This window comes from Homo sapiens, chromosome 11 (assembly GCF_000001405.40).
Source record: "Homo sapiens chromosome 11, GRCh38.p14 Primary Assembly".
NCBI classification, from domain to species: Eukaryota; Metazoa; Chordata; class Mammalia; order Primates; family Hominidae; genus Homo; species Homo sapiens.
In genome coordinates, this window is record NC_000011.10 from 60,150,987 (window position 1) to 60,165,326 (window position 14,340).

Consider the following 14,340-nt stretch of genomic DNA (forward strand, 5'->3'; position numbering starts at 1 on the left):
CATATATTGGTGTTCATTCTTTACTAAATTTTTGATAGAATTCTCCAGTGACATAATCCAGACCTGGAGATTTCTTTTTGGGGAGATTATTATTATTATTATTATTGTTATTAATTCAGTTTCTATTTTGTTACATTTTTTCTAATAAGAAGATCTCCTTTATTCCTAGTTATACTCTTTGTTCTGAAATCTAATTTGATATCACTGCAGACATTTCAACTTTCATTTCACACTGTATCTTTTTTTTTCTCCTTTTACTCAAAACCTATCTGTCTCTTTGTACTTAAAGTGTATTTCTTTTAAGCAGCATAGAGTTTGGTCTTTTTATTTCCTTTAATCCAATCTGTCAATCCCTGGTTTTAAACTGAGTTGTTTATGTCATTTGCATTTACTGTGATTACTTACATGGCTATATTTAAATCTTTTACCTTGCCATTTGCTTTAGATTTGTCCTAACCATTTTTGTCCCCCTTTTCACTATTTACTGCCTTCTTTGGACTAATTACATATTTTTATGATCATATGTTATCTTCTATTTTTGCTCATTAGTTATAACTCTTTGTTAAGCTATTATCATGTGTTTTAAGGTTTATATTGTACATGTTTAAGTTATCATAGTCTATAATCAATTGGTATTATAATACTTTATCTGTAGTTTAAGAATCTTATAATGGTACTCCCATGTCTACCCTCCTGGACTTGATGCTTTTGTTGCCTTACATATCACTTACACATGTGTATTAATCGTAAAAATACATTGTTACTATTCTTGTTTAAAGAGTCACTTATCTTTTAAAGATATACAGAAATGATTAAAACTTCTTGTTTTTCTCCTGATGTTTTCATTTATGGTGTCCTTCATTCCTCATTTGCGTCTGGTACTCTTCTGAAAGTTTTAGCATTTTCTTTTTGTAAGGCAAGGCTTCTAGTAATGGGTTCCTTTAGTGTTTGTGTATCTAAAACCATCTTTATTGTGTCTTCATTTTGAAAGATGTTTTCACTGGGGATGGAATTCTACAATGACAATTTTTTTCTCAGCATTTTGAAATTTTGCTATTGTATATTGTCACTTACATTGTTTCTGATTTTAAAAATCTACTGTCATTCTCTGTGTGTAAAATGTGTTTTCACCTTCTGGCTACTTTTAAGATTTTCTTTGGATCATTAGTTTTGAGAAATTTTATTTTTATGTGCTTTGATATAGTTTTCTTCACATATTTTATACTTGGATTCATTAAGCTTCTTGGATCATGTGAGTGTACTGGTTTTATAAAGTTTGGAAAATTCCAAATAAATGAGTACCCAGTACTTCTTCATTTTTTTTTTCTGCCCCATACTGTCTGTAGAGATTTCAGTTTCTCTTTTCTCCATTCCTGTAATATCATATCACCTGATTCTGGGCCTCATTTTTGTTAGGGTCAGTAATTTTTGTATTTTTTGTAGAGACGGGGTTTCTCCATGTTGCCCAGGCTGGTCTTGAACTCCTGGGCTCAAGAAATTCACATGTCTCAGCCTCCCAAAGTGCTAGGATTGTAGATGTGAGTGACTGAGTCTGGCCAGATCACTAGACAAGTTCTAAAATGTTGGTTTTAACTCTAAGTAGGCAGCTCAAGACAGGTACCTCAAAGGCCAATCTGCATTAAAGTAGCAAGAGAATACTATGAAGGAACGTATCTTAGAATGCTAGACTTGTCAAAGGGTAACTGTTTCTAATGTATCCTAACAATTATGGGGGAATTGAAAAAGATACATTTATTGTAGTTGGTAAATGCAAAAAAATGCACTCCATATTCAAATGGCTCCTTTTCTTCCTAAAACAATATGAAAAAAGAACAGCATCAGAATACATTAAAATAAATTTAGCAGGAGAGAAGCAAAGTCAAGATGCCCAAATAATTTTTATTTTTATTTTTTATTTTTATTTTTTTTAAATCATGTAAATATTTATTTATTTATTTATTATTTTATTTTATTTTATTATTATTATACTTTAAGTTTTAGGGTACATGTGCACAACATGCAGTTTTGTTACATATGTATACATGGGCCATGCTGGTGTGCTGCACCCATTAACTCATCATTTAGCATTAGGTGTATCTCCTAATGCTATCCCTCCCCCCTCCCCCCACCCCACAACAGTCCCCAGAGTGTGATGTTCCCCTTCCTATGTCCATGTGTTCTCATTGTTCAGTTCCCACCTATGAGTGAGAATATGCAGTGTTCGGTTTTTTGTTCTTGTGATAGTTTACTGAGAATGATGATTTCCAGTTTCATCCATGTCCCTACAAAGGACATGAACTCATCATTTTTTATGGCTGCATAGTATTCCATGGTGTATACGTGCCACATTTTCTGAATCCAGTCTATCATTGTTGGACATTTGGGTTGGTTCCAAGTCTTTGCTATTGTAAATAGTGCCACAATAAACATACGTGTGCATGTGTCTTTATAGCAGCATGATTTATAGTCCTTTGGTTATATACCCAGTAATGGGATGGCTGGGTCAAATGGTATTTCTAGTTCTAGATCCCTGAGGAATCGCCACCCTGACTTCCACAAGGGTTGAACTAGTTTACAGTCCCACCAACAGTGTAAAAGTGTTCCTATTTCTCCACATCCTCTCCAGCACCTGTTGTTTCCTGACTTTTTAATGATCGCCATTCTAACTGGTGTGAGATGGTATCTCATTGTGGTTTTGATTTGCATTTCTCTGATGGCCAGTGATGGTGAGCATTTTTTCATGTGTCTTTTGGCTGCATAAATGTCTTCTTTTGAGAAGTGTCTGTTCATGTCCTTTGCCCACTTTTTGATGGGGTTGTTTGTTTTTTTCTTGCAAATTTGTTTGAGTTCATTGTAGATTCTGGATATTAGCCCTTTGTCAGATGAGTAGGTCGTGAAAATTTTCTCCCATTTTGTAGGTTGCCTGTTCACTCTGATGGTAGTTTCTTTTGCTGTGCAGAAGCTCTTTAGTTTAATGAGATCCCATTTGTCAATTTTGGCTTCTGTTGCCATTGCTTTTGGTGTTTTAGACATGAAGTCCTTGCCCATGCCTATGCCCTGAATGGTAATGCCTAGGTTTTCTTCTAAGGTTTTTATGGTTTTAGGTCTAATGTTTAAGTCTTTAATCCATCTTGAATTGATTTTTGTATAAGGTGTAAGGAAGGGATCCAGTTTCAGCTTTCTACATATGGCTAGCCAGTTTTCCCAGCACCATTTATTAAATAGGGAATCCTTTCCCCATTGCTTGTTTTTCTCAGGTTTGTCAAAGATCAGATAGTTGTAGATATGCGGCGTTATTTCTGAGGGCTCCGTTCTGTTCCATTGATCTATATCTCTGTTTTGGTACCAGTACCATGCTGTTTTGGTTACTGTAGCCTTGTAGTATAGTTTGAAGTCAGGTAGCATGATGCCTCCAGGTTTGTTCTTTTGGCTTAGGATTGACTTGGCAATTCGGGCTCTTTTTTGGTTCCATATGAACTTTAAAGTAGTTTTTTCCAGTTCTGTGAAGAAAGGCATTGGTAGCTTGATGGGGATGGCATCGACTCTATCAATTACCTTGGGCAGTATGGCCATTTTCTCTGAAATTGTGGCAATAATCAATAGTTTACCAAACAAAAAGAGTCCAGGACCAGATGGATTCACAGCTGAATTCTACCAGAGGTACAAGGAGGAACTGGTACCATTCCTTCTGAAACTATTCCAATCAATAGAAAAAGAGGGAATCCTCCCTAACTCATTTTATGAGGCCAGCATCATCCTGATACCAAAGCCGGGCAGAGACACAACCAAAAAAGAGAATTTTAGACCAATATCCTTGATGAACATTGATGCAAAAATCCTCAATAAAATACTGGCAAACCGAATCCAGTAGCACATCAAAAAGCTTATCCACCATGATCAAGGGGGCTTCATCCCTGGGATGCAAGGCTGGTTCAATATATGCAAATCAATAAATGTAATCCATCATATAAACAGAACCAAAGACAAAAACCACATGATTATCTCAATAGATGCAGAAAAGGCCTTTGACAAAATTCAACAACACTTCATGCTAAAAACTCTCAGTAAATTAGGTATTGATGGGACGTATCTCAAAATAATAAGAGCTATCTATGACAAACCCACAGCCAATATCATACTGAATGGGCAAAAACTGGAAGCATTCCCTTTGAAAACTGGCACAAGACAAGGATGCCCCCTCTCACCACTCCTATTCAACATAGTGTTGGAAGTTCTGGCCAGGGCAATTAGGCAGGAGAAGGAAATAAAGGGTATTCAATTAGGAAAAGAGGAAGTCAAATTGTCCCTGTTTGCAGATGACATGATTGTATATCTAGAAAACCCCATTGTCTCAGACCAAAATCTCCTTAAGCTGATCAGCAACTTCAGCAAAGTCTCAGGATACAAAATCAATGTACAAAAATCACAAGCATTCTTATACACCAATAACAGACAAACAGAGAGCCAAATCATGAGTGAACTCCCATTCACAATTGCTTCAAAGAGAATAAAATACCTAGGAATCCAACTTACAAGGGATGTGAAGGACCTCTTCAAGGAGAACTACAAACCACTGCTCAATGAAATAAAAGAGGATACAAACAAATGGAAGAACATTCCATGCTCATGGGTAGGAAGAATCAATATCGTGAAAATGGCCATACTGCCTAAATAATTTTTAAAATGCCCAGAATATGTCAGCAAAAACACACTTTCTAAAGAAATATTCTATAAGTAACTAGAACAATAAAATCCTACTCATTCCAAGAATAGTTACAAATAAAAGCTGGAAAAACAATTTATAAAAATAGCCTATAAAATAAAGAGATAAAAAGGAGGAAAATGCACCAGAAATAGGGCTTTACCTCTGTGAAATATATCACAGAGGAGCATTCTGACTAGTTGAAACAACTTGTGCAGGCTGGTGGATAGGAGAGGCCACTATTGAGAAATCCTTTAAAGGAACAACAATTTGAACAACAGGTGTTTCTTTAAAAATAAAGAAAATGGAACATTTGTGAAGTGATTTTTTAAAACTAAAATTCCACATGCAATTTTATTGTAGAAACTTACCACAAGCTTAGTTGTCTAAAACAATATGTTTATTATGTCACATTTCCTGTGGTTCGGAAGTCTGGGCGTGGCTTGACTAGGTCTTTTGAGAAGCTGAAATCTAGGTTTCAGCAAGGCTTGCAATCTCATCACAGCATAGATAGCTTTGTAATAACTAATCTTCCAGTCAACAAACATAATGTATTTCTCCACTTTCTCTAAAAAGAGTCTGGCGCCTCTTCCCCCTTGCTTCCACTGTTCCCTTGTGATCTCTGTGCATGCTAGCTCTTCTTCACTTTCCACAATGAGTGCAAGCAGCCTGAGACTCTCACCAGATGCAGATGCCTAATCTTGAACTTTCCAGTCCTTGGAAGCATGAGCCAAATACACCTTATTTCTTTATAAGTTGCCAAGCCTTAGGAATTCCTTGATAAAAACACAAAAGGGACTAAGACACTTAATATATCTATTGCTATTGACAATATAATTATTTTAAGTCATGTAGTCCTACTTTTTTATTGTCATACAGTTATACAAGTGATTTTAATATTTCCTCCATATACATCCTCCTTGCTAAATTCTCATTTTATATCTAATTTTTTTCTATAAATACATTTAAATTTTCTACACAAAAAATTCATTATCTGCAACTAATGACAGTTTGGTTCTTCTCTAACAATTTATATTTAATTATGAATTGTCTTACTTTACTACATAAAGGACCCAGAATAATCCTGAATAAATGTAGGAAGTGTGTATAATTGTTGTGTTGCTGACAATAATGTAACACTTTTCAGGTTTTATCACTAATAATGTTATTCACTGTAGGTTTAAAATAATTTTCTTGTTAGCTTAGGAAGTTTTCCTTTATCCTTATTTTTAAGAGTTTGCTTTAAAACTATGAATACTTGCTTTTTCATTCCAAAGATTTGTTGTCATGCATCTATTGAGATTATTATACTATTAAACTTTAAACAATCTGCTTCTGTGGTAAATGTGGTATTTAAAAATTAGAATGTTAAAATATATTTGAATATCTGGAATGAGTTCATCTTGATCTTGATACATTGTCATATTTTTTCTTTTCATATATTATAAAATTTTATTTGAAAAATTACTTCTGGCCCCTTACACTTCATTCATAGTGAGATATGCATATTATTTCCCTGCCTGTATTGAACTTTTATTGTTCTTTTTTGAAGGATCCAAGGACGAATCCACCTCTTTGCATTTTTCAGCTTCCAGAGGTTGATCACAGTTCTTGGTCCCTTCAAAGCCAGCAATGTTGAGTTAAGTCCTTCTCACAAGGAAGGAGAAGAACTCTTCTGCCATTGTCACATCACTCACTATGACTACAAGCAGAAAAGGTTTTCCACTGTTAAGAATCCATGTGATTATACTGGACATGGGAGTGCATCCAGGATAATCTCCATATTTTAAAGTCAGAGTCTACCAATCTTAATTCTGCAACCTTTGACACCCATGTGCCATATAATGTATTCAAAGGTTCTGGGGATCAGGATGTGGACATCTTTGTGGGGCTATTATTCTAAATACCACATTATTCTTGTCTAAGGATATTGTCAAGGAAGATGGAAAACAATAACAGGTTATACTCCAGCTGAGGATTCATTGGCAGTAGAAATATCCTGTAACTTCAGTCATAGGGGAAGAACATATTAAAAAGTGGGACAAATAGAGTTGTTGGGATGAGAAACAACCAACATGGATTTCTTTTTCTCCTTTGAAATACTTGTTGTGACATGGAGTGATACAAAAATAACCAAACCAAAATAACCCAAACCAACTAACAACTTATTTCTATTATGGGTCTCATAACTTTGAAATGATATTCTGTGTCCTGGTTCTTGGAGAAGTAGGAGAAAGGAATGGTACAGAATCAAAACAATAATCAGCATTATAAAATAAGATGTCTTTATTATACTATATTTTGTCATTACAGGATTCTTAATGTGTAAACTCCCAAATAGTCAGCTATATATAGTCTCACAGTTGTACATGGTGATTACCCAATAGTGTGAGAATAGGACAAATGTTTTGGAAACCTCAAACCACTGGGATCTGTGGAAATGCCACATCATCATAGATATGTTCAGGAGAGACTACAGATCGTTCGTTCTCGTTATTTGGTACAAAAAACACAACCTGTGAAGAAATAGGAAAATTCTAATTTTCTTATTTCTAATTATCTTATAGTTAGATAAGTAGGAAACTTATCTAAGTATACCAACAGGTATATGGGAAAGTACTGAAATCACTAACCATCAGGTAAATGAAAATCAAAACCGCAGTAAAATATTATCTCACACCTGTCAGGCTGGCAACTATAGAACAAAGCAAGTGTTGGTGAGGTTGTAAAGAAGTTGGTACCTTTGCACACTGTTGGTGGAAATGTAAAATGGTGCTGCCGCTCTGGAAAGACATATAATTTTTTTCAAAAACTTAAATAACTCCCATATGATCCAACAATCCCATTTCTGGGTATTAATCCCAAAACAGTAAAATCAGGATCCCCAAGAGATATTAGCACTCCTATGTTCATTTAATCACTATTCATGGTAGCCAAAATATGAAAATGTGGTATATGCCAACCTAATACATAAATAAATAATGCTTTTGCTTTTTTTCTTCCAATAATGAAGAAAGGCCTTTTTAAGGCTTTAGAAAGAAGGAAATTCTGCAATATACTGCAACATAAATGAACCTTGAGGCCATGATGCATACGATAAAAACCAGTCACAGAAAGACAAATATTGCGTGATTCCAATCATACGAGGTATCTAAAATAGTGTGACTCATAGAATCAGAGGCTGAAATGCTGGTTACCAGGATCTGAGGATAGCAAAAGTGGGGAGTTGCTAATCAACAGATATAAAGCTTCAGTCAAGCAAGATGAGTAAGCTCTGGAGATCCTGTGTACACTATTGTACCTATAGTCAACAATAATATCTTGTACACAAAAATGCTTTAGGTTGCTAATCTCATGTTAAATATTCTTACCACAGTAAGATATACTATAGATATAGATATACTATTATTACATATATATACACACGTATATATATAAATATATATATGTATATTTAAAAAGAGTGGCAGATTAGACAAAGTGTCTAAACTGATTTTGTTTGTTTGTTTTAGCCATCCCTACACCTCATAGTATTTTGTTTGTTTTGTTTTGCTTTTGTTTGGCTTAGAAGTATCTTTTAGTCTTTAAAACCAGTTGCTTCTTATTTCACAACAGCCTGCATTTAACTCCCTGAACTTCTCACTCACTGTGGATGCCATTGAGGAAAATGAATGTATATGACCCAGTCATCTTAGCTTGTTGCTCAGAATCCTTGGAAATTATGGTGTAGCTACAGCTGTCAGTTTTCTGTTTTCTCTTCAGCTAGTGTTTCAAATCAAGAGGGAAGTGCTCCCTGGACTCTGAGTCCTTACAACATTTTCCATTGTCCAAGCACACAACATCAGAGTGGTCAGAGAGAAGAGGTTATTTTTTTTTCGGTACGTTATTCCTGGCATGGTTCAAAAGCCCAAATCCTGTAAATTTCAAGAGATAGTCCAATATGTATAAGTCCAATGACTCCAGTTAGCTCCATGGTGAGAATTCACAAGGAAACCTCCTGAATATAAAACCTATTTATATTATTGTATTAGTGCAACAGTACTTACTACAGAAAAAAATGTGCTATAAGTAGAGATACAAATTCTTCTTAAAAAGATATATATTACTTCCACAGCCATCAGAACTGTGCCTGTTCCTGCTGTGGTGGCACTGACTGTATTCATCCCCAGGCTGCCTTGGATCTGAAAAGGAGAGAAAAAGATTTTTGGAAATATACAGTCTCGTGTTCTTTCTGTCTCTGAGAGTCCACAAAATGACATTTAACTCAGTTGATTTGAATTTGGATATCAACTTGGACAGTGCTCCCACTCTGGAAAAAAAAATGTTGGGGGGGAGGAAGCATCTGGTATAGAGGAAGCCTTGATTACATCAGGCTCCAATGCAGGGATTGTATTGCACATGGAATGTCATAGCACAGAGCTAAGTCTATCATTCTTGCCTAAGTGTCACAGGGGAAAAATTTATTAGGATTACATGAGAACATTTCTAGGGAGCCTCTTTAGAGAACCAGCCAGGTTTGATGTGTCTTATCCTTGCAGCTCAGGAAATGTCTCTTGCTAGAACTCTCAGGCTTAACCAAAAGACACTTACCAGACCCTTGGTCGCTTTCCTTCCAGCAGCAAAGCCCCTGTTACAGACTTGTCCACTGACTCTCAAAGACATTAGCTTTCATATCCAGCATTCAGCAGTTCTTCCTAAATGAGGATACAAACCCAGTGTTGATGATGGTTATGCTTCTGTGTACTAATTATTCAATTCATTTATACCTCTATTGTTTTTCCTGGCTGATTTGCTGCTATTTCCACAGTGCTCCAGACGGAAAGAACTGATTAAAGAGAATCAACTCAGAGCTTCCATCGGCACTCCCTTTCCTAAAATAATCTCCTACCTTCTCCCACTCTTTTGTCAATATTATTTACCCAAACAATTGTCCAAGTTTGGTATTTAAAATTAATGCATAGATTTTCAAGAGAAAATGATGAAGTCATTTGCAGATACCTGAAATTAGAAGTAGTAGAACAATGACTAGTACTCACTGAGAAGGATCCCCATAAATGATAGTTCATATTAATTATATGGAGAACTCCAACTGCATAAACAGTTGAAACAAAAAGCGCCATTGTGAGACGCAGGCATCGTGTCATCAGCCCAATCAGGATCTGAGCCTCCTGGAGAGTAAAAAACATCCTGTGAGGAGGTGCATCTTCTCAGGGTGAAGGCCTTTCTAACATCATTGCACATTAATTCCTTCCCCACCTCCGAGACTCCAAACTTGAGATATCTTGCAGGAAGATAAAAATGTATGCATTGTCTGTTCTCTTGTCCAACACAGGATACTGCAATTAATCTTACTATTATTTATTTATATATTTGCCATTACTTTTAATGGCAAAAACCGCAGTGACTTTTGCACCAACCTAATACATAAGTAATGATAACATTTTTGTGTTTTTTTTCCTTCCAATAATGAACAGCTTTATTCAGTCCCTTTTCATTTTGTCAATTTGTAAGGTTTGTTTAGTTCAGAAAGGTTCAGATAGTTTTCTACCATACTCAGTGACCTGGAAAATGTGGATATCTTGAGGAAATCTCAGTCCTGTCTCAGGAAATGATGCTTTTCCCCTAAGCCTGTGCTCTGGTCTCGTGTTCACTCACCCCTAGGACCTGGGGCTGCCTTTTCAGAAAAAGCCTCAAATCCTTCAGTTGCTGTTAGGGCAAGATCCAAGCCCCCGACTGGCTTGGTAGTAAGATGGTCTCTTTCCAAAGAAAGTTTATGATCCTTCCCTTGACTGCATCTGCCTCTGATGTCCAGGTATTGCTGTTGGCACCAGGAGAGAAAACGCTTAGTGGAGAGCCACTTCTAAATATTTTCCTTGATCAATATCAAAATGTAGTGGCAAGAGATTTTGTGTCTCTGGAAAATAATATCATAATAATATAATGATATTTGATTGAAATAATCAAATAATATTCATAATATTTTATTTCCACAACTTTGATTAGGGCAGAGCTGGATTTTTTACTTACATCCTCATTCTCGTATTGACCCAGGCAGTCAGCTAGGACAAATCTGCACTGAACTATAGCTGCCTAATCCTCGGCAAGGGAACACAGTGTTACTGACCTTATGCAAAGTATCTAAGCCTTGATGAACGAAATTTGGACATTTACCTTCCTGCTCAGATTCCAGAAAGAAAGAGAACTGACTATTTGCAGCAAAATTTCAGGCAATATTTTTCCATACCCAAGTTTCCTGTAGCTCAGTTTACAGTGACCCCCACAGGCCTGGCGTTCACATCATCTCCACTTAGACTCCTTGTAAGATCAAACATGGGACTACTATAAGGCACGGTCTCTTCCTACCTTTGCATCTCTTCAGGGCACACCAATGGAAGTTATTGTCCTTTCTGGTGTGTGGACTCTAATTCACAGTCCTCAAAGAGGATGAATACCTGTCTGATGTGTAATTTGTGATGAAACTTTGTCTTAGACCCATGGGCCACTAGTTTCCTGTGATTTATCTCACTCTCCTTGCCAGATAGGTATCTGCAATGTTTTTAAGTTTTGTAATATATCCCTGATATAATAATCTAACTTCACTTCTCACATGCTAACACAGTATCAATGTAAGAGCACATTGTCAATGCTAGCTCCCCTCCATTGCCGTGTCTCCTGAATAGTATGCATGTCTCGCTTGCCAGATTCACTGTTAATAGGACTCATGTTTCTCTGGCTTCATGTAATAAAAACTAACTATAAATTATGAGTGCTTCTGAATTAGGGATCTTCTTAAAAACATGATTTTATTTAATAATATTGTATTTTATAAAATCCTTATTGTGTATCTTATCACATAACAGTTGTAATTATTTAATATACTTTCCCGACTATTACTTCTGTTTTTTTGAAAAACTCTCCTCCCGGTTCATGTGATTTCATTAGACTTGTAACCCCAGGTATGACAAAGTCTTTTCTTATGCCACAGTAACTGGACTGCTCTATTTTCTCATCCTTGTAAAATGGTAACTCCTTAGTGAATGCTTCAGAAGTTTCCAAAAATTCAAGAAAAATACCATATTGTTGGCAAATGTTAATTTATTGTGTATCATATTTAAGGCAGTAGGAAAAATGTTTCATAGAACCAAAAGATTGACATCATGTAAACAAACAAACAAAAATCAGTTTGCTACTAACACTTTCCCAATCCACTCTCTCATCTTGGTATTTTTTTCTTTTTCTTTTTCTTTTTTTTTTGCCAAGGACTTCTTAAAATCTTTTCAGGATTTTTCTTATAAAATATTTTGTAATATTTGAAACAAAACAATAAGCCTAATAACATCCTGACATCCATTAACATTTAAACAATTCAACTTGGACTCTAAATTCCCTCTACAAATCATGTTAATTCTATGATTCCTCCACAAGAATTTACATAGGTGAATATCTATACACATATGTATGTTTACATATATATGCACATATCTATATACATATATATGTGTCTTTTAACTTACTGATTTTTTTCTCCATTGTAAGCACTTATTTGGATGTTCAAGACACATGATAATAGAAACATTTACTTCCAAGTTTAATTTTGTAAGGCAAAATTCTCATTTTGTTTCTGGACAAAAATATCTTTTGGGCCTTTATATCAGCCTCCTCATATATTTTCTCATTCCAGGGGAGAAACTGGTTTTCATCTGGTTCTGTCGATCAACCAGAAAACTCTTGGATATCCCATTTCAGAGTCAAAGATATTAACATAATGTTCATTACACTATTGTGTGTGTAATTGGTTAAATTACAGCATAATTTTCTCTTTCTTTGCAACAGAATTGTGTTTTTGCCATGGAAAACATGTTCCCAATTAAGTGTGGTGACTGGAGGCCACTCATTGGTAAATTACAGATGTCACTTTATACCTGGATATATATATGTGTGTGTGTGTGTGTGTGTGTGTGTGAGCATGCATGTGTATATATACATATATATGTGTATCTTTATATGTGTGTGTGTGTGTGTATATATATATGTATATATCTCCCAGATATCACTAGATAGGCTTTTACCAAAAACAAAACAAAACAACTGCAGGATGTCATTTTACAGCACTTTCAACTATCTCCATGGATACAATATGATGTTGTTTCTCTGTCCAGTCCCAGCTAGATGCAACACAAGGAAAACTAGTTATCCATGGCACATGGACCAGACCATTAAAGAACAATGGTAAAGACACCACTTTCCACAATACCCTTCCGTGAGTTAGTCTCACTGTCGCTTTTGCATAGATGCATGTCCCTGTTACAGACTTGTCCACTGACTCTCAAAGACATTAGCTTTCATATCCAGCATTCAGCAGTTCTTCCGAAATGAGGATACAAGGCAAGTGTTGATGATGGTTATGCTCTAGTGTCCTAATTATTCCCTTCATTTACACCTCTATTGTTTTTCCTGGCTGACTTGCTGCTATTTCCACTTCCCTGGAGTAGTGCTAGCTCTACACCTATTTAGGTTAGCAAGTCCTGTTCACTCTTATAAGGTGTCTTTGGGGATAGATTTGTTAGGGTGTAACTCAGCACAGTAACCCCACAGAGGGTTCTAATTTCCCCTCAGATATGTGGTCTTGTGGTATTTCTATAATGTGTTATATTTCTAGATTTTTATGTGTATTTCCAGAAAAAAAAAACCCGTCTCTACTAAAAATACAAAAACAAGTTAGCCGGGCATGGTGGCGGGCACCTGTGGTCCCAGCTACTCAGGAGGCTGAGGCAGGAGAATGGTGCAAACCCAGGAGGCAGAGCTCGCAGTGAGCGGACATCGTGCCACTGCACTCCAGCCTGGGTCTGTCTCAAAAAAAAAAAAAAAAAAAACAAAAAAAGAAATTACCAGTAAACAGAGAGCCTAAGAATGAGAAAAAGTACTCACAAACTATACATCTGCCAAAGGTCTAATATCCAGCTTCTACAAGGATCTTAAGCAAAAACCAAAAAAAAAAAAAAAAAAAAAATCCAATTAAAAATGGGAAAAGGACATGCACAGACACTTTTCAAAAGAAGACATACAAGCAACCAACAAATATGAAAAAATGTTCAACATCATGAATCATCAGAGAAATGCAAATCAAAACCACAATAAGATACCATCTTACACCAGTCATAAAGGCTATCACTAAAAAGTCACAGAACAACAGATGCCGACAAGGCTGTGGAGAAAAGAGAACACTTACACACTGTTGGTGGGAATGGAAACTGGTTCAGCCACTGTGGAAAGCAGTGTGGTGATTCCTAGAAGACCTAAAAACACAACTACCATTTGACTCAGCAATCCTGTTACTGGGTTTTCCCAAAGGAAAATAATTCATTCTATCAAAAAGACACATGCACACATATGTTCATTGCAGTGCTACTCATGATAGCAAAGACATGGAATCAACCTAGGGGCCTGTCCATGGTGGATTGGATAAAGGAATTGTGGTACATATAAAACATGGAATACTATGCGATCATAAAAAACAATGAAAGCTTGTCCTTGGCAGCAACATGGATGGAACTGGAGGCCATTATCCTAAGCAAATGAACGGAAGAACAGAAAACCAAATACTGCATTGTTTTCACTAGCAAGTGGGAGCTAAATAT

At 36.0% G+C, this 14,340-nt stretch overlaps 1 long non-coding RNA gene across 2 annotated transcripts; it reads right to left on the reverse strand.

The window, feature by feature from the left end:
• Positions 1 to 8,254: 8,254 nt before the first annotated feature.
• Positions 8,255 to 13,414, reverse strand: LINC02705 (long intergenic non-protein coding RNA 2705). Of its 2 annotated transcripts, XR_950142.1 has the most exons (4): positions 10,358 to 13,414; positions 9,739 to 9,870; positions 9,293 to 9,396; positions 8,255 to 8,883 (listed from the first exon to the last, which is right to left on the reverse strand). It is a non-coding gene; the product is annotated as a long intergenic non-protein coding RNA 2705 (long non-coding RNA). The 2 variants fall into 2 exon arrangements; XR_950141.1 differs by having other exon boundaries at positions 9,739 to 13,414.
• Between the last annotated feature and the right edge of the window lie 926 nt (positions 13,415 to 14,340).